The sequence below is a fragment of the Homo sapiens genome, chromosome 16 (genome assembly GCF_000001405.40).
Source record: "Homo sapiens chromosome 16, GRCh38.p14 Primary Assembly".
Lineage (NCBI taxonomy): Eukaryota > Metazoa > Chordata > Mammalia > Primates > Hominidae > Homo > Homo sapiens.
Genome location: NC_000016.10, coordinates 70,819,021 through 70,840,423, shown reverse-complemented (window position 1 = coordinate 70,840,423; position 21,403 = coordinate 70,819,021). Strand labels below are relative to the sequence as shown.

General features: G+C 42.7%; 1 protein-coding gene across 1 annotated transcript in view; it reads left to right on the top strand.

The window, feature by feature from the left end:
- The window catches only part of HYDIN (HYDIN axonemal central pair apparatus protein), a 428,639-nt gene that overhangs the window by 390,299 nt on the left and 16,937 nt on the right, over positions 1 to 21,403 (top strand). The window contains exons 76-83 of the mRNA NM_001270974.2: positions 191 to 360; positions 2,536 to 2,734; positions 4,590 to 4,748; positions 6,260 to 6,537; positions 7,357 to 7,576; positions 10,594 to 10,806; positions 11,995 to 12,158; positions 13,013 to 13,163. Of these exons, the coding sequence (NP_001257903.1) occupies positions 191 to 360; positions 2,536 to 2,734; positions 4,590 to 4,748; positions 6,260 to 6,537; positions 7,357 to 7,576; positions 10,594 to 10,806; positions 11,995 to 12,158; positions 13,013 to 13,163 (1,554 nt within the window). The remainder of the gene's footprint in view (positions 1 to 190; positions 361 to 2,535; positions 2,735 to 4,589; positions 4,749 to 6,259; positions 6,538 to 7,356; positions 7,577 to 10,593; positions 10,807 to 11,994; positions 12,159 to 13,012; positions 13,164 to 21,403) is intronic.

Sequence of the window (21,403 nt, the reverse complement as noted above, 5' to 3'; positions counted from 1 at the left end):
GGCCTGATTACAGAGGAACTTTTCTTCAATACACAAACTTCTAACCTACTGAATTGGAATCTCTGGAAATGGCACCCTGAGACCTGTATTTGTTAAAGCACCAACTGCTTTCCTGCTTCACCTGAGGACTTAAGAGCCCTCTCCTCCTACTTCTCCTAATCATGGTCCCCCTGCCATTTCCTCCTCACAGATCAGCCATGGTCCAACATTTATGTGCAACATCTCAGGCTGTGCTGTGAGCCCGGCTATCCATTTCTCCTTCACCAGCTACAACTTTGGGACCTGCTTTATCTATCAAGCTGGGATGCCCCCATACAAACAAACCCTGGTAATTACCAACAAGGAAGAAACACCTATGAGGTAAGCAGGCTTCCAGAGCCTCCAAATGATTCTCTAGCTGCTTGTGGGTCCTACAGATTCCACACAGGTGAAGCCCTGCCAAGACAAAAAAAAAAAAAAATGATTATGGGAAAGAGTCAAACAAAAGTGGGTATGAATCCTAGGTCCCTGTCCCCATAACTAACACTAATACTTGGATAGCCACGAGCTACCCTGCTAAAAATCCTCTTTGTGAAGTATGTAGAGCAATGCCAAAGGACCTAATGAGAGGTTTTATGACTTCCATTTATCTTGTCGTGCAATAGACTTGGAAACTGAGGTTTGAAGAGTTAAAAGGTAAATTTCTCAGGCCAGTGGCTTTGCAGTAAATAGCAGACCTGTACTGAGCCTAAGCTTTCTGATTCAAATCCAGCCTCTCGGCACCATCCCTGTGTGGGATGTTCTAGTCCAAGGTTCTGAGCCCCATTCAAGACCTAATGAGATAGAATCTCCAAGGGCTGGCCCAAAGACCTGTGTTTACTCAAAGCTATCTATCAGTACTTTAGAGAACTTTCCATCATGATGAAAATGTTGTATTTTTGCATTGTCCAATATGGTGGCCTATAGCTGAATGTGGCTTCAGAGCACTTAAAATGTGGCTAGCGAAACTAAAGAACTGATTTTTTATTTTATTTTAATTAATGTTAATTTTAATTTTAATAACCACATGTGTCTAGTGGCCACCATATTGGCTAGCACAGATCTAAGTTCAAATTTCAACTCTTCCCTAGTTGTGTGATCTTGGGCAAATTTTTAAAACTCTCTATGCCTCTGTCTCCTTGCCTGAAATGGTAGTCATAATAATACCATCTATATAAGACTATTAGGATGATTACATTAGTTCACCTAGGAACAGTGCTTAGAACACTGCCTGGAACATAAGAAATGCCCAGTTATTGTTAGCTGCTGCTGCTGCTGTTATGATTATTATTAGTACCCTGAATATTAAATTATAAGTGTGTCATGTAATTTTAAATACTAATTTTAAATCTTATCTATCTATACTTCTTGCATGATTTAATGTAATCTCAGTCTTACTTTGCTTAAGGCATTGAGCTCTATATGTTGGCCTAGCTAGACTCCTTCTCTACAGACTGTAAGGCAGAGAAGGAGAGGTTGTAATGAAAAGGCCTAGGTGCCTTCCTACCCACATGTGGAGTAGGGTGGACATGATCTTTTAAGATCCCTTCTGGTTGAACAATTAGTCATAATAATAATAGCTCACTTTATGGAATATTTCCTCTGTGCCCTATTTAATGACTGTTTCAGTCACTTAATCTCATTTAATCCTCACAACAGCCCTAAGAAATAGTTATCATTACCCCCATTTTACAGATCAGAAAACAGAGACCCAAGTGGGCCACATAACTCTTCAGAGATCATTTGGGTAATTAGTGATGGAGCCTAGATCCAGACTCCTCTCTGCCTGACTCTAGAACATATACTCCTCCCTACTGTGCCTTGTTACCTAATTACTTCTGGAAGCACTTCCTTCTTATGAGAGGGTACAAAACCCTCGTGTAGAAAACCATGAGATGCATTATCAAGAAATCGAGAATCAGGCTGGGCGCGGTGGCCTGTAATCCCAGCACTTTGGGAGGTCGAGGTGGGTGGATCACCTGAGGTCAGAAGTTCAAGATCAGCCTGGCCAACATGGTGAAACCCTGCATCTACTAAAAATACAAAAATTAGTTGGGCACAGTGGTATGCACCTATAATCCCAGCTACTCAGGAGGCTGAGGCAAGAGAATCGCTTGAACCTGGGAGGTGGAGGTTGCAGTGAGTTGAGATCATGCCACTGCACTCCAGCCTGGGTGACAGAGTGAGACTCTGTCTCCAAAAAAAAAGAAAGAAAGAAAGAAAGAAATACAGAATCGGTAGAGTGAAGAATATTGGGCAAAGGGTGATGAGCCTTGAGTTTGAAACCCAGTTCAGCCAGGATCTCAGGATGTGACTTGGAGCAACTTGGTTGTGCCTAAGAGAGCATGGGCTGGGTCATTGCTGAGCTCCCTTCTAGCTCTTAAATGACTTCTGTGACTCTAGGACAGCAGGGCAGGAAACCCATCAGTGTCCAGCCCAAAGAGACAAGGAGACAGCATCTGCCCCTCTGGGTCAGACTTCTTGGAGCTTACGCCTCTTCCTCTTGATTTTCTGCAGCATAGATTGTCTGTACACCAACACCACTCACCTCGAGGTGAACTCCCGTGTTGATGTGGTAAAGCCAGGAAACACATTGGAGATTCCAATAACTTTTTATCCTCGAGAAAGTATCAACTATCAAGAACTCATTCCCTTTGAAATCAATGGGCTCTCACAACAAACAGTCGAAATCAAAGGGAAGGGTACCAAAATGAAGGTAACAGACAGTCGGGAGGCCTTCAGGCGTGGCACCCTCCTTTCTACCCTTCTCATCCTTCTTTGCCCCCCAGAACCCCTTCACCCTTCCAGCCCCTCTGCTTCTCTGCCCCAGGCTGCTCTGTTGTAGGTCAGCGAGTCCCACTGAGATGATGTTCCTAATAACAGAAAGGGGCAAATCACCAGATCAGACTCACTGAATCATAGATCTTATTCAATACCAAACTTTACTGTATCAAAGGATACAGGTAATTACAGACACTAGAGAAATATTCTTTTTCTTGGAGAAATTTGAGACTTTCAGACTCAGCACCCCAAGTATATCCTTTTCCTCCTGCATCAGGGCATGTTTGTTTTCAGGTTTAATAGATAACATTTTTTTTAACATTTTTAAGCAATGTACACAGACATGTGTTTCAGTGATGGAACATCTTTCCTTAACACCCCATTGATTAGCATTCTCCAGCCAGCCACAGATCCCTGGATGATATTTGGTTCAAGGCATTTCTTTTACTGAGGCACTCTGGATAGAAAGGGAATGGTCATATTCTGCTGCTCATTCATTTCCTTCTTGTGTCTAGTAAATGTGTAAGGTGCTTGTCTGGTGGGATTATCTGTATTTTAATAGAAGGTTTTGGAAGATTAAAATCCTTCCAAGACTTTCAGGAATGCATAGCATATTTCGGCAACCAGGGGAGGGGTGTATTCCTGGCAGCCTTCCCATCAAGCCATAGGAGCAACAGGACATTACCAGCTAATGTGTCTGGACCCAAGCTAGAGACAAGGTCGCTTCTGATGCCATTGATTCATTCATTTTCCTATTGGTCTTTCACTTGTTCATTTAGCACCCATTATGTATTGGATATTTTGGGAAGATGCACAAGTGACTTACACATGTTCTCAGACATCCAAGAGCTCATGACTGGTGGGACAGACTCTCTTGCCTTTTTAGACAAAATGGAAACATGTGGGCTGGGTTTAAAGATAGTTGGGTGGAGGGGTGCAATTTAGTGACTGACCATGACAGTGACCAGTGGGTGCTGCTCATTGTGGGTCAGTGCCATTTTGGAGGGCAGGCTCAGCCTGGCCTTGGCCTGACCCAGGCACCATTTTAATCAGTGTCTTACCTGAGGACTTGGAAGCATAACTACTTTTCTCTGCCTCTACTGCCACTGTTCTAATCCAACCACCATCATCTCTCCCTCCTGCTTTCTTTCTTGCCCTCTTCAAGCCCATTCTCCGTAAAGAAGCCAGAGCTCTCTCACAAACACTCCATACTTCACTGACTTCCCATTGCTCCCAGAATGAAGCCCAGTTTTCCCACTTCTCACTCAGCAATGGCCTAAAAGGCCTTGCAAGACCTGGCCACCTCTCTGAAGTCATCTTCTCAAGTCCTAGCTCCCAGCCTCAGGCCTTCACTGGGCCACTCCCTCTGGCTCAGGGCCTGGCCACAGGTTGTCTCCCTGCCTTAGGTTGTTCCCCAATTCCACACTCACTCTGGCTGAAACTGACTAGCTCATACCTTTCTTTAGCTCTTGATGTATACATGCCATCTTCGGAAAGGCCCCCTGAGCCCCCTAGCCTAGTTTCAGCCCCATGTAATATGCTCTCAAGGTGCCCTGAGATTTTCCTACATATATTTTGACCCAGTTGTACTTGTATAATTGTGTGATGAGGAGTTCAGTGGGCACTTGAGGCACTTAAATGCTTATTGAGTAGGCAGATGCCCACCCAATATGAAGAAGTGAGGGCACAGAAAGAGAAGGAACCACCCTTGCCTCACCAGAGTAGACATATAATGTTTATTTTTCCCTTTAACTAATGAACTCTTCTTCCTACTCTTTCTTGTCCCACAGATTTTAGTCCTAGATCCAGCCAACAGGATTGTGAAGTTGGGAGCTGTCCTACCAGGGCAGGTTGTGAAAAGAACAGTTTCCATCATGAACAACAGCCTGGCCCAGCTCACATTTAATCAGTCCATTCTGTTCACAATTCCAGAACTCCAGGAACCCAAGGTTGGTGCTCAGAGGGGCTCCTAGCGGCCCCTTCATGCTCCCTGATGATGAGGATGGCCATGCTGGCAACACTAGCAGCTCACATTTCTTGTGCATCTGTAATGTGCCAGACCATTCTAAGAGCCTTCCCTGTACTCCCTCTGTTCATTTTCACAAAAACAGTATAGGGCTTTACAGGGTGCACTAGTCCCACACTGTTTTTGTGAAAACGAACATTATTTTCATTTTGCATTTTCATTTCATTTTCCATGTCATTCATTGTCATTTGTTTATTTACATCTCCGTTGTGTAGACAGCCCAGTTCTCTATTTTCGTTCATTTCAGGTGTTTCTCCTTAAGCCTTTGTGCATGCATGACTCTGTGCTTAAGATACATTCCTAGGCTGGGCGTAGTGGCTCACGCCTGTAATCCCAACACTTTGGGAGGCTGAGGCAGGTGGATCACAAGGCCAGGAGTTCAAGACTAGCCTGGCCAAGATGGTGAAACCCCGTCTCTACTAAAAATACAAAAAATTAGCCAGGCATGGTGGCGGGTGCCTGTAATCCCAGCTATTCAGGAGGCTGAGGCAGAGAATTGTTTGAACCCAGGAGGCGGAGGTTGCAGTGAGTCGAGATCGCACCACGGCACTCCATCTCAAAAAAAAAAAAAACATATATATATGTGTGTGTATATATATATGTGTGTATATATATATATATACACACATATATGTGTGTATATATATACATATATGTGTGTATATATACATATATGTGTGTATATATGTGTGTGTGTATATATATATACACACACACACACACATATATATATGTTTGTTTGGTTTTTTTTGAGTCGGAGTCTCACTCTGTCGACCAGGCTGGAGTGCACTGGTGTGATCTCAGCTCACTGCAATCTCCACCTCCTGGGTTCAAGTGATTCTCCTGCCTCAGCCTCCTGAGTAGCTGGGACTACAGGCATAAACCACAAAGCCCGTCTAATTTTTGTATTTTTAGTAGAGACGGGGTTTCGCCATGTTGGCCAGGCTGTTGTCAAACTCCTGACCTCAAGTGATCCACCTGCCTCGGCCTCCCAAAGTGCTGGGATTACAGGCGTGAGCCACGGCACCCAACCGGAATCTGCATTTTAAAAACCACACAGGGAAACTGAGGCAGGGAAGACTCCTTGAGAAGTGCCAGAGCTCTAACTGTTTGTTATTTCCCATTACTATTTCCTGTATCAGGGAGGAGGAAGAAAGAAGGAAGTACACAAAATAAGTTAGGAAAGGGTCAGGAAAGGGAAATGATACTTATTAAATATCTATTATGTGCTACAAATTTTATAGAGATGATCTTAATCTTCAACATAGAGTAAGTCACAGAAAGTTGAAGTAATTTACCAAAGCATACACAGCTGATGGGAGAGCAGGAGTGAGATCTGACCCCTGTTCCAATCGCAGCAGCAAGAACTCCGGGAACCGAGGCCTTAGGGGCCTCCCACCCTCAGCTGCTGACTCTGGGTGCTATTTCATTCAGGTCCTTACCCTGGCGCCCTTCCACAACATCACACTGAAGCCCAAAGAAGTCTGTAAACTGGAAGTCATCTTTGCCCCGAAGAAGCGTGTCCCTCCCTTCTCTGAGGAAGTGTTCATGGAATGCATGGGGCTCCTGCGCCCCCTCTTCCTCCTTAGCGGCTGCTGCCAGGCCCTGGAGATCTCACTGGACCAGGAACATATTCCCTTTGGACCCGTGGTGTATCAGACGCAAGCCACACGTCGCATCCTCATGATGAACACAGGCGATGTGGGTGCAAGGTAAGGGAGCAGTGTCTCCCACCCTGAGGCTGCCCCAGAGGCTGCTGTCCCTGTATCTGCCCTGGACTTGTTCTGCAAGTGCAATCACTTTTTACTTCTGTCCTCTCCCTTCTACATCCCCCTGCTTCCCTCAAGATGTGACAGCAGTGGCCTCACTGGGGTGATTGCTGCTACTATGATTACTACAGTTGAGATAACAGAAGATATTTAGTCCATGCCTGTTTCCTGCCTTGACATGGCACACATCATTTAATCCAACTACAGTTCTATGAGACCAAGACTGCTACCAACCCATTTCACAGATAAGCGAGTGCCCAACCACAGAGGGAGGACCACACAGGGCCATGGGATACCAGTGCCACCCAGAACAGAGGCAACTCTCACGGGAAGGGATTGTCGCCATCCCCCAGGATCTGAACCAGGAAGCAGTGCAGGGAACAGTTAAGACCACAGTCCCAGAAGGATTTCTGTCCTAGCCCAGCCACTTCCTAGCTGTGTGACCTTAAGTACACGACACATGTGTATGTGTGTTCATACATATGTTCCCTGATGTGTCACTCGTGGATAATAAGATGCAGCCACTTCCTGCCCTTGGCTCAGCTCTGCAAAGGAGCCAAGTCCACCTACCCAGGAAGTGACCTTGGCCCACATTCCCCAGTGCTTCTGCTCTGTCTGGCAGAGATCTTTCTCCTCCTAGGTGCTAGGATAGACTCAAGGGAGGTGAACCTCAGCCTAGGCAGTCTCTTGTTCTCAGTAGCATTGAGGACACCCTTACAACATCCATAAACTCTCTTTCTTTTCTTCTTTTTCTTGGAAAAGGTTTAAATGGGACATCAAAAAATTTGAGCCTCATTTCTCCATTAGCCCAGAAGAAGGCTATATTACCTCAGGCATGGAGGTTTCTTTTGAAGTGACCTACCATCCCACCGAGGTGGGAAAGGAGAGCCTTTGTAAAAACATTCTCTGCTACATCCAGGGAGGCAGTCCTCTGAGTCTAACCCTGTCTGGAGTCTGCGTGGGACCACCTGCGGTAAAAGAGGTTAGTAGCTGCTGCCCGGGGTGGCCCAGTGGCAGGAGTGACCCCAGCAAGTGAACTCAGCCAGGCCTCCTTCAAACAGGCAGGCCTGCCCCCTCCCTCCACGAGGCCTGTGAATACACCGTTTCCACTGCTGGAATATTCATTCTCCCCTCTTCATTTGGTTTATTCCTTTCCATTCTTCAGCTCTCATCTGAAACATTACATTCTCAAGGAAGCCTGCTTTGACATCCCTGGCTAGATCACATTCTAAGATCTATGATTAAAGCGTTAACACCTTTCTCCTTTTCTATGGTTTAAAAAAAAATGGCCTTGGTATATCCGTCTGCTAGCCTTGTTCCTGGGAACCTAACTGAACCATCAGCTGTGTTACCTAGCAACACTGCTTGTGGTAGAAATGACACCCAATCTCCCTGTCTATAATTTTGTTAAAGAATGTTATATGAATGGAATCATACAGTATGCTATGAACTTGTATTTATAAGTCTCAGCAGGAACATATGCTTTCATTTCTCTTGGATAAATACCTAGTTGTGGAATGGCTGGGTCATGTGGTAGGCGTATGTTTACCTTTGTAAGAAACTGCCAAACTATTTTCCAAAGTGGTTGTGTCCTTTTACAATGCCACCAGCAATGTCTGACATCTCCACTTACTTCACATCCTCATCAACAGTTGATAGTCAGTTGTTTTAAATTTCAGCCATTCTAATCAGTATGTAGAGGTATCTCATGGAGGCTTTATTTTCCTGATGACTAATGATGTTAAGCAACTTTTCGAGTACTTATTTGCCAGCCCTGTATTGTCTTAGTTAAAGTGTCTGTTCAAGTCTTCTGTTTATTTTTAATTAGGTCGTTGGTCTTCTTATTAAAGTTTCTAGAGCTCTTTATATATTCCGAACATAAGTTTTGTGTTTAGGTCTTCAGTCTATTCGGAGTTAATTTCTGTATATAGTGTGAGATATGGATCAAAAATTTTTTGTACATGGATATCCAATTGTTCTAGTACCACTTGTTGAAAAGACTCTTTTCTCTACTGAATTGCCTTGGCACCTTTGTCATTGATTGTAAATGACAATCAATTGATCATATATATGTGGGTTCTGTTCTCATCTATTGATCTATTCGACCATCTTTATGCCAATACCAATCCAATAGCCAGTTCTTTCTTTAACTATAGGGAGCATTTGACACCATAAACCCGTTCCTCCTCCTGCAAACACTTCCTTCACTTGGCTCCAGCACACCACTCTCTCCTGGGTTTCTTCCTACTCACCGGCTTCTCCTTCTCATCTTCTGTTTGTTTCTTGTTTTTTTTTTTTTTGGTTTTTTTTTTTTTTTTTCTGAGACAGAGTCTCACTCTGTTCCCCAGGCTGGAGTGCAGTGGCATGATCTCGGCTCACTGCAACCTCTGCCTCCCAGATTCAAGCAATTCTCCTAACTCAGCTCTTAAGTAGCTGGAATTACAGGCCCCCACCATCATGCCTAGCTAATTTTTATATTTTTAGTAGAGACAGGGTTTTGCCATGTTGGCCGGGTTGGTCTCAAACTCCTGACCTCAGGCAATCCACTCAACTTGGCCTCCCAAAGTGCTGGGATTTCAGGCATGAGCCACCAAGCCTGGCCTTCTGATTCTTCTTAACATTGGAGTTTGTCAGTCAAGAACTAGTCCTTAGATTCCTTCTTTCGTCTACATACCATCATTTCTTGTTGATTTCAGCCAGTTTCTTGGCCTAAAAAAAAAAAACACTGTTAGGCTGGACACAGTAGCTCGTGCCTGTAATCCCAGCACTTTGGGAGGCTGAAGCAGGAGGATCGCTTGAGCTCAGGAGTTCAAGACCAGCGTGGGCAACATAGTGAGACCCTATCTCTACAAAACAACAACAGTAATAACAACAATGAAATTGCTATACTGACAACTCCCAAATCTTTATCTGCAGCCTGGACTCTTCCCTTGAACCCCAGATTTGTAAATTCTACTTCCTTCTTGACGAATAGGCATCTCAAATTTAACATGTATGAAACCTGAGCTCCCGATCTCTCACTGAAACCTGCTCCTCCCGCAGTCAATCCCACATCAGTAAAGGGCATCTCCATTCTGCTCATTGGGTGTCATTCTTGAGCCTTCTTCCACCTATACCCAACATACCATACAGAAGTAAATGCTATTGGCTCTTCCAAGTACAACTGGAATATACCCACTTTCCACCATCCCCAGTGCTACCAGTGCCACCTAAGCCACCGTCATCCCCCACCTGGCCTATTGCAAGTGTCTTCTAGTTAATCTCTCTTCCTCTGTCACCTCTAAGCATCTAGAGCAGTTCTGTTAGAGCATAGATCCGATCAGGTCACTCTACTCAAAATACTCGTAAGTCCTCCTTTTTCAACTAAAAAAAAAAAAAAAAAGTGTCTACCATGACTCCAAGACCCTGCGTGCTGTCCCCTGTCACTTTATCTCCCCCTCACTCACTTCACATTTGCCACACTGGCCTGCCTGCCTTTTGTCAAAACCAGGAGCTTTGTAACTGGCATTTCCTCTGCCAGTTACACTCAGGCTCACTCAGGCTCTTCCCCAGGTCTCCCCTACTTCATCCTTCTTGGTCTTTAATCAAATACATATGCTCAGTTAGGCCCTTCCTGATCACACTGTGTAAAAACTCAAACCCACTCCCAATCTGGCACCCCTTCTACTTTGTCTTTCCCCTTGGCACTTATTTCTATCCTGCACGCTCTACATTCCACTTGTGTGTCTGTCTCCCTCTAGTAGAATCTCAGCTCAAGGGCAGAGATTTTTGTTATTTCGTTCATTGCTACATCTCTACCACCAAGAACAGTGCCTAGCACATAGAAGGTACCCGTAAGTATGTGTTGAGTGAATGAAAGAAAAAGAAACGGACCCACTGAAACTCATGATGGGAAGCACTGTCAAAGTCAGTCTTCCCCAGCGCACATTCTGTACTTCTGGCCCTGGAGACGGACCAGGGGGAAGTGCCATGGAAGATGAGGTGCCTGCTTTCTTCCAGGTAGTGAATTTCACGTGCCAGGTGCGCTCCAAGCACACGCAGACCATCCTGCTGTCAAACCGCACCAACCAGACCTGGAATCTGCACCCCATCTTTGAGGGCGAGCACTGGGAGGGGCCTGAGTTCATCACCCTGGAGGCCCACCAGCAAAACAAGCCCTATGAGATCACCTACAGGCCCCGCACCATGAACTTGGAGAACCGCAAGCACCAGGTAGACTGAGGTCCCCCCACCCCCATTGGTTTCCTGGCATAGTTGAAGGTGGCACTATGTGAATGAGGTTAAAAGACACTTTGGGGCTGGGCGTGGTGGCTCATGCCTGTAATCCCAGCACTTTGGGAGGCTGAGGAGGGTGGATCGCCTGAGGTCAGTAGTTCAAGACCAGCCTGGCCAACAAGGTGAAACCTTGTCTCTACTAAAAATACAAAAATTAGCCAGGCATGGTGGTGCACACCTGTAATCCCAGCTACTTGGGAGGCTGAGGCAGGAGAATTGCTTGAACCCAGGAGGCAGAGGTTTCAGTGAGCCAAGATCATGCCATTGCACTCCAGCCTGGGCAACAGAGTGAGACTCCATCTCAAAAAAATAAAAATTAAATTAAAAAACACTTTGGAAGCTGAGAGCTCAGAGAATGTTAGATGGGGAACACCCAGATCATGTTGGAATAGTGAGGATTTGGGAATTGTGCAGATTATCAAGCTTTGGCTTCCTTTTTTCATTTTTTATTTTAATGTACAGGGATTCTCGTAGAGCCAGGGGCTCAGTTCTGAAATGGAGTCCAGACCAAGCATCAAGTAATTAATGTTTCACTTAATTGCATAAATAACATAATGGTGACTGTAACAAAACAAAAAAAAAGTGGCCACAATATTCCACCCTATTAAAAAATGAACTTTTCTTTTCTATCTTCACTACCAATCCTTATTCAGATACAGCCATAACTATCATCATAACATACCCAATTTTACATTCAGTTTGTTTTCACTTTACGGTATAGCAGTAGCATTTTTCTATTTAACTATGCGGTCTTTATGATAATTATTTTTAATAACTGCCCAATATTTCACTGAATGAGAATTCCACAATTTGTTTTACAGTCCCATTTGTTGAATGTTTATCTACAAATTTTCATCAACATTATAAATGGTTCTTATATATATGCATAACTTTTTTCTTTGGAGGGATTTTTCTTCAATAGGCTCTCTGGGATAGGATTCCTGGCTCGGATACATATGAACATTTTTCTATCTCCTGAACTATATCACCAAGATGTCTTCAAAAGTATTATGTTTCTTTCCAGAGCCTCCATTATCCTCCATTAATCCTGGGTCTCTACATGTCCAATAAGTACCTAGTAAAGAATGCTGTGTGGCATTCTGATCACATCCTTCTTCTCCTTAGGGCACCCTCTTCTTCCCCCTCCCAGATGGGACCGGCTGGCTGTATGCTCTGCATGGGACTTCTGAGCTCCCCAAAGCTGTAGCCAATATCTATCGTGAAGTGCCATGTAAGACCCCCTACACTGAGCTTCTGCCAATCACCAACTGGCTGAACAAGCCCCAGAGGTAAGGGGGTGGGGCTAGGGGGCTGGGTGGGGAGATGAAAGGAGGACTTTCACCATCTAGCCTGGTCCTTCCCCTACTTAGGACCTCTAGAGGATGTTGAGGGGCTCGAGGAGTTAGAGACAAAGTTCCCTGATGTGACCAGGCATTTCCTGAACACTAAGCCTCTAGCGAGATTCTCTTTTCTGTGCTTAGTTACTTGTAAGTTTCCTGGCACAAAATAACCATTCGATAAATGTTAGCCATTATTATCATAATGATAATTACCACTGTTATTGCTGAGTGTTCTGTCTTATCACCTAAGCCACTGGCCAGAGAAGCAAGTCCTTGGATCTTGTCCTTGCAGTAGGAGCAGAGTGGAAATCGGGCACCAGGAAAGCTCAAGGCCAACAAGCATGGTCCCCTTCTTTTACAGAGAAGGAACTCTAGACTGGGAGACCAGGCACAATGTACTGAAGGCTTCCTGCTTAGCATAGTGGGTAAAGGCCTGACCTAAATTTGAATCCTGGTTCTGCCAGTAACCAGTCATCTTACCTTCCTTCTCTTGGAGCATCTTATCTTCCTTCTCTTGGCCTGTATTTAGTGATGTGGACATGATAGTGATATGTATTAATACCTCCTACAGATATTGCAAGGATTAATGCCTGTAACACACAGGCCACTCACTCAGTCCCTGGCACATAATAGGTGGCCAGTAAATGGCAGTTCCCATTATTGTTAGTGACAGGGTGAAGACTAGAACCCTGGAGCCATGCACTTCCCATAAAATCAAGAGTACAGCTGGCACTTCTCCTTTTTTCCTATGGGTTAACGGTCTCATTTCCTCTCCCCTCTTGTGTTCTCCTATGCTGCCCCAGATTCCGGGTCATCGTGGAAATACTGAAACCAGAGAAGCCGGACCTAAGCATCACTATGAAGGGCCTTGATTACATTGATGTACTGTCTGGCTCTAAGAAAGACTACAAGCTGAACTTCTTTTCCCACAAGGAGGGAACGTACGCTGCAAAGGTATCTACATAGCAAAGGCACCACCCTGGAACTCAGGACATTTGACCCTGAGTTTGATCCTGGTGTTAGCAAGTAAAGATGGCCCCCATAGTCACTGCTCCAAGACATCACAGGGTCTCTCACACATGAGTTGTTTCACCTCATTCATTCAGTGGTTTAACAAGTATCTATTGAGCACATATGCCATGTACTATACTGATTGCTGGTAACACATCAGCGACCTGAATAGGCACAATCTCTGTTCTCACAGAACACACAGTCTAGTGGAGAGAGATGGGCATTGCTCAAATAATTGCACTATGGATGTATAATTACAAAATGAGATAAGTGCTTTGAAGAAAAGGAGCATGTGTGGATCTGTAGCTCATGGGAGAGGTCGGGACTAAAGATAACATTTGGGAATTTTTCATTTATAGATAGCATTTGGAGCTAAGATGTGGGATAGAATCACTTGGGGAAACATTTTAAAGTAAAAAGAAAAAGAAAAAAAGAAAGTATCTAGGAACACACACACAGAGAGAGAGAGAGAGAGAGAGAGAGAGAGAGAGAGAGAGATGCTGGCAAGACGCATCCAGCAGTGTGAGATCTCCTTTTCTACAATAACTGAATAGGATGCTCCAATCACATCTCATCAGATCAGCATTCACAGACAGACAAGATTTTAAGAGAACCTCAAAACAAGACATCATGAAACATCTAAAAAAAGTTACCATAAAATAGAAACACCTACTCAATAAATGAGTAAATCACCTCTGAAAAGAAAGAGTTATTAAAGCAAACAGAAAACTTTAAGTGAATATTATTTATATCCCCAAAGGGAGAAAATCGTACTCATGAAATAAGGATAAGCTATTGTGAAAAAGAATCAATTAGAGACTCTAGAAATGAAAAATAAAATATTTAGAAAACCATGCAGGAGGGATGGACTTTATAATGGAGATTACTAATAAGTTACAAGATGGAGCTGAGTAATATCACCAGACCTTAGCCCTTGAGGACAAAGAAATGGAATGAAATGAAATAATAACAAGCATCAGCAAGGATGTGGAGAAATTGGGACCCTCATACACTGCAGGTGGGAGTATAACATGGTGCAGCTGCCCTGGAAAACAGTCTGGCAGTTCCTCAAATGGTTAAACGTAGAGTTACCATATGATTCACCAATTTAACTCCTAGGTAATACCCTAGAGAAATGAAAACATATGTGCACACAAAAATCTATACACAAATATTCATAGCAGCATTATTTATAAGAGCCAAAACGTAGAGACAACCCAAATTTCGATGAACTGGTAAGTGTATAAATAGAATGGAATTTGACAATAAAAAGAAATGGAAATAAAATATTGATACCTGCTATAAAACATTATGCTAAGTGAATGAAGCCAGTAACAAATGTATGATTTGAAATGAAAGTGAATGTATGCTTTGAAATATAGGTGAAAGAAGCCATTCACATATTGTATGACTCCGGGTGTATGAAATTTGAAGAATAAGCCAATCTACAGAAACAGAAAGTCGATTCATGGTACCAAGGGCTGGAGAGGATGGGTTGGGGAAAAGGGGAGTGACTTAATGGTTATAGGGTTTTAGGGATTATGAAAATGTTCTAAAGTTTATTGTGGTGATGGCTACCCTGCCTTGTGAATATACTACAAACCACTAAATAGAACACTTTAAATGAGGGATTGTATGGTATGTGAGTTATATCTCAATAAAGCTGTTTCAAAAACAGAATGAAAGGAAATATGAGACAATGTATAAATCAAGAAGTTCTAATATATATGTAATAGGAGCTCCTGAAAGAGAAACAAGATACTGGAAGGAAGAAAGTATTCAACAAAATAACTGAAGAAATATTTCCAGGGCTTTTTAAGAAGATCAAGTCTTCTAATCGAATGGGTCCATCAAGTTGCCAAACAGGGTGAATGAAAAAAATACTCACATCTAAATACATTAGAGCAACGTTTCAGAAAACCGGGATGAAAGAGAAAGTCCTAAATGATTCTAGAGGAAATAAAAGGAGCTAATAATCATGGTAACATAAGACTTCTTGTGGCAACACTAAATACCAGAAGATAATGGAATAAGCTATCCAAATTTCAGAGTGAGAATGATTGTCAATCTAGAACTCTTTTTCCAGACAAAACTCTTATGACAGCAAAACTTGGACATGCAAGGACTCAAAGTGACTGACCCAGGGCCAGGCACAGTGGCTCACCTCTGTAATCCCAACACTTTGGGAGGCCAAGGTGGGCTGGCACGCGCCTATAGTCTCAGCTACTCAGGAGGCTGAGGTAGGAGGACTGATTGAGCCCAGGAGATTGAGGTTGCAGTGAGCTGAGGTGACACCACTGCACTCCACCTGGACAACAGAACAAAACTGTGTCTCAAAAAAAAGAAAAAAAAAAGTAACCCACCCATATGCACAAATTCTATCTGAAAATAAATACAAAATTAAAACTTTCTGAATTAGCAAAGCTTAAAAAATAAGTAAGTGAGCCATGTGCAGTGGCTCATGCCTGTAATTCCAGCACTTTGGGAGGCTGAGGTGGGTGGATCACTTGAGGTTAGGAGTTCAAGACCAGCCTAGCCAACATGGTGAAACCCCATATTGAGGCAAGAGAATTGCTTGAACCCAGGAGGCAGAGGTTGCAGTGAGCCGAGATCACACCACTGCACTCCAGCCTGGGCAACAGAGCAAGACCCTGTCTCAAAAAAAAAAAAAGTGAATCAAAGAGGAAAGTACAAGGATATAATAAGCAAATAATCAAAATTAAATTGATAGGTAATTTTAAACAACTGTTGAAAGACAATCTAAGATAAATATTTCATATGACCTGAACATAGAAAATAGCAAGGGGAAGAATAAAATAAGGCAATGAGAAGCATTTCCTCATTCTGGAGGAATTGAATGGGGGAAATAAGAGAAGGTTTCTCATTCAGAGAGAAGAGTAGGAAGAGAATAGAGATATTCATAAACTGTACATGTAAACAAAATAAAGATATGTAAAAATATAAGTGAAAAGACTTTGGAGTAAAAATGACAGAGTGAACCCAAATCACCAGTCTCCTTACAGTAATACATATTGAAATTAAAAATAATAACAAACATTTTTCAAAGAATAAAAAGCATTTCTGCTTCTGGTTATAATGATTATAATACTCCATTTTATACTCCTCCCACTATAAAAAAAAAACATATAAAACTCAACAAAATCTCTGAGGCAACTTTTCTCAGGCATTGGACAACAGGCAGCACAATACTGCAATCCTCGAAAAGGAAGGAAAACTCATGACGAATCCCCATGATTATCCTGGTTCTCTGCCTAAGGACAATTTCCTGACTACAATTCAGTGAGCTAGAGTCCAAGCAAAGCACAGCAGCCGCCAAGGAGCTGAGGAGGCAGAAATCAGAGTTTGGGACAGTCAAAAAGGCTAGTCTCTACAGGGTAGGACACCAGAGAGAAGGGACCAGTGCATGAGTAAAGAGGACAGGTCAGAAGACAGCATGAGCGTTCCCTTCACTATCCTTGGCTAAGAGTTGCACATGTGCAGGGTGAGACAACATGGGATTTACCAGGGAGCAGCTGCTATGTGGTTGTTAAAGGAATAGCAATACTATGTGTTAATCAGTGCTGGGGAACATTAGAGGTCTGGCCCAGCCAAAGGAAAGAGATTGCATTAATACCTCATTAAAATCCTGAGAACCCAGCTAAAATACTAGAAAAGCCAGAAGAAAGACTTAGGAGAAAGGGCCATTCCCTTAGTATAAGGCCTTCTCTTTATCAGCCCTTTAAAAAAGCCTACAACTAAGCACCTGCAAGTTCTACAGGGAGGACAAAATCTGGAGATTGAATCCCAGCAAGTCAGAAGGTCCTGATAAATACCTTGAGCTTTACACGGATGTGCTCTAACAAAGCATAAAACCAAACCCACACAAATTTAAGTCAGTGATTCAACTACCTCCTACAACAAAATCAACACTGTTAAAAGGAAGACAACAGAATCCAGAATCTCTACAATGATCATCAGCATTGTCCAGTAGACAAATAAAAATTACTAGACCTGTGGAGAAGCAGAAAAATGGGATCCATAGTCAAGAAAAAAAAGCAGTCAATGGAAACTGACTCCAAGACGGGCCAGATGTTGGATTTAGCAGGCAGACTTCACAGCAACTGTTCTAAACATAACATAACATTCTCTGGGAAGAAGAGAATGAGAGAGAATGTGAATGAGGCAGAAAATTAAATTACAGACATACCTCAGAAGTACTGTGGGTTTGGTTCCAGGCCACCATGACAAAGCTAATAATGCAATAAAGTGAGTCACAATATTTTTTGTTTCCTGGTACATATAAAGGTTATGTTTACATTGTACTGTAGTCTATTAAGTGTACAATAACATTAGGTCTTTAAAAGTAACGTGCATACCTGAATTATAAATTACTTATTTGCTTAAAAATCCTAATGATCATCTGAGCCTTCAGTGAGTCATAATCTTTATGCTGGTGGAGGGTCTTGCCTCGATGTTGATGGCTGCTGACTGATGAGGGTGGTGGTTACTGAAGGTGGGGGTGACTGTGGCAATTTCCTAAAATTAGACAACAATGAAATTTGCCATATAAATTAACTCTTCCTTTCATGAAAAATTACTCTGTAACATGTGATGCTGTTTGAAAGCATTTTACCCACAATATAACTTCTTTCAAAATCGGAGTCAGTCCGCTCAAATCCTGCTGCTGCTTTATCAATTAAGTTTGTGAATATTCTAAATCCTTTGTTGTCATTTCAACAATGTTCATGGCATCTTCACCATGAATAAATCCCATCTTGAGAAACCACTTCCTTTGCTCATCCATAAGAAGCAACTCAACATTCATTCAAGTTTTATAATGAGATTGTAGCAATTCAGTCATATCTTCAAGCTCCACCTCTAATTCTAGTTCTCTTGCTATTTCTGCTACATCTACAGTTACTTCCTCTACTTTTCCAGTTACTGAAGTCTTGAACTCCTCAAAGGCATACATGAGGGTTTGACCTTCTCCAGTGAATCACAGATGTTCTTAATGGCATCTAGAATGGCAAATCCTTTCCAGAAGGTTTTCAGTTTACCTTGCCCAGACCCATCAGAAGAATCATTATCTATGGCAACTATTGCCCTATGAAATGTATTTCTTAAATAACAAGACTTGAAAGTCAAAATGACTCCTTCATCTGTGGGCTGCAGAGTAGATGTTGTGTTAGCAGGCATGAAAACAACATTCATCTCCTGTACAGTTCCATCAGAGCTCCTGGGTGTCCAGGTGCATTATTAAAGAGAAGTAATATTTTGAAAGAAATCTATTTTCTGAGCAGTAGGTCTCAACAGTGGGCTTAAAATATTCAGTAAGCCACCCTGTAATTAGAAATCAGATGTGCTGTCATCCAGGATTTGTTGTTCCATTTCCAGAGCATAGGCAGAGTAGATTTAACATAATTCTTAAAGGCCTTAAGATATTTTTTAAAAAATTAGTTTTTAAAAAAAAACTATAGATCCAAGAAACTTGGCAAACTTCAAGCAGGAGAAATACAAAGAAAACTATGCCTGTACACATCAGGCATCGTTTCATTTTCAAACTGCCAAAAAACAAAGATAAAGAGAAAAGCTTAAAGCAGCCAGGGGGGAAAAATACATATTACAGCGAGAGGGACAGCGATAACAATGGCTATCCTAGAGTTCTGGCTTCACCTAGGAAATAATGGAAGCTATCTGTAAAGCGATGAAAGGAAAGGAAACAGTCCATCTAAAAATTCTTTATCCACTAAAAATGTCCTTTAAAACTGAGAGTGAAATAGACATTTTCATATAAAAGAATCTGAGAACATTCATTGTCAGCAGATTTACATTACTGCAAAACATGTTAATAGATCTTCTTCAGTCTGAAGGGAAATGATACCAGATGGGAACTCCAGTCTGCAAGAAGAAAAGAGGGGCTCTAGAAATGGTCAATACCTAGGGAAATGCAAAATATATATTTGGAGGGTTTTTTCTTGGATTTCTTAAAAGATTACTGACAGTTTATAACAAATATAATAACATTCTAAGGTGGATGTTCTTATGTATATAGAAATAAAAGATATGATAACAAAAGCACAAAAGATGGGGTGGACAGGCAAATGAAGTGATGCTAAGGCAAGGTTATTATTAAGTGTGAGGTAGGGACCAGGAAGCATCCATTGTCAAGTGGGAAGTGATAAAATATTAACATTTAATAAATGTTGATAAGGATTCATTTTTAGCTCTGGAGCAACCACTAAACATTGTTTTAAAGGCCAGGTGCAGTGGCTCACACCTGTAATCCCAGCACTTTGGGAGGCTGAGGCAGACGGATCACTTGAGGTCAGGAGTTCAAGACCCGCCTGGCCAACGTGGTGAAACCCCGTCTCTACTAAAAATACAAAAATTAGACGGGTGTGGTGGCACATGCATGTAATCTCAGCTACTCGGGAGGCTGAGGCTGGAGAGTCACTTGAACCCAGGAGGTGGAGGTTGCAGTGAGCTGAGATCGCACCACTGCACTCCAACCTGGGTGACAGAGTAAGACTCCATCTCAAAAAAAAATATGTTTTAAAATATGACTAAGAAGCCAGTAGAGGAAGTAAAATATATGCCAAAAGATTGTGTATCAATCCAAACGAAAGCAGGAAAGTAACAACAGAAAAATGAAAAATAAAAGGGACAAGTGGAAAATAACTAGCAAGGAAGCAGACTTCGGGCCAAACATATAAACAGTCACTTTAGGCCCGGCACGGTGGCTCACACCTGTAATCCTAGTACTTTGGGAGGCCGAGGCGAGCAGATCACAAGGTCAGGAGATCGAGACCATGGTGAAACCCCATCTCTACTAAAAACACAAAAAAATTAGCCAGGCATGGTGGTGGGTGCCTGTAGTCCCAGCTACTTGGGAGGCTGAAGCAGGAGAATGACATGAAACCAGGAGGGGGAGCTTGCCGGGAGCCGAGATTGCGCCACTGCACTCCAGCCTGGGCGACAGAGCGAGACTCCATCTCAAAAAAAAAAAAAAAAAAAAAGAAAAAAGAAAAAAAAATCACTTTAAATGTAAAACACTAAACACTCCAATTAAAAGACAGGGAGTGAAGGCCAGGCGCGGTGGCTCAAGCCTGTAAACTCAGCACTTTGGGAGGCCGAGGCGGGCGGATCACGAGGTCAGGAGATTGAGACCATCCTGACTAACACGGTGAAACCCCGTCTCTACTAAAAATACAAAAAAAAAAAAAAAAAAATTAGCCAGGCGTGATGGCGGACGCCTGTAGTCCCAGCTGCTTGGGAGGCTGAGGCAGGAGAATGGCGTGAACCCGGGAGGCAGAGCTTGCAGTGAGCTGAGATGGCGCCACTGCACTCCAGTCCGGGTGACAGAGCAAGACTCCATCTCAAAAAAAAAGGGAATGTTAGAAGCTCTTCAAGACACAAAGAAGTTGAAAGTAAAAAGCCAGACTATATAAAGAACTATTAACACCTAATAATAATAAGATAAAACAACCCAATGTGTTACAAAGGACAAACCACTTGAATAGACCCTATTGCATAAAAGCAGCTATGTGAATGACCAATAAAAACACGAGAAGATGCTGAACATTATCAGTCACCAGGGAAAAGAACTTAAAGAGGTGAGCAGCACAAGAAGTCCGTTGCAGGGGTGAAGGGACAGTATAGTGTCGTTACAAGTGTGAGCTCTGGAGTCAGTCTAACCTGGGTTCAAATCTTGGTCCTGACTCTTCTTTATGTGTGACCTTGGGCAAGATACTTGAGTTTGCGAAGCCTCAGTTCCCTCATCTTTACAAAATAAAAATTAAATTAAATTAAATTAAATTAAATTTTAAAAGGTTAAGTGGCATAATAACAGTGCCTACGAATTGTGTGAATTAACTAATTAAGCATTTCTATTTATTGCCTGGCATACAGTAATCATTAATTAAGTGTCAGATGCTATTGTTGTTTTTAAACTATCCCAGCAGCAACAGGAATAGGAAGAAAGCCCACTGTGGCCAGGCACTGTGGCTCACACCTATAATCCTAGCACTTTGGGAGGCCAACACGGACAGATCACTCGAGGTCAGGAGTTCAGGACCAGCCTGGCCAACATGATGAAACCCCGTCTCTACTAAAACTGCAAAAATTAGCCAGGCATGGTGGCAGGCGCCTGTAATCCCAGCTTACTTGTGAGGCTGATGCAGGAG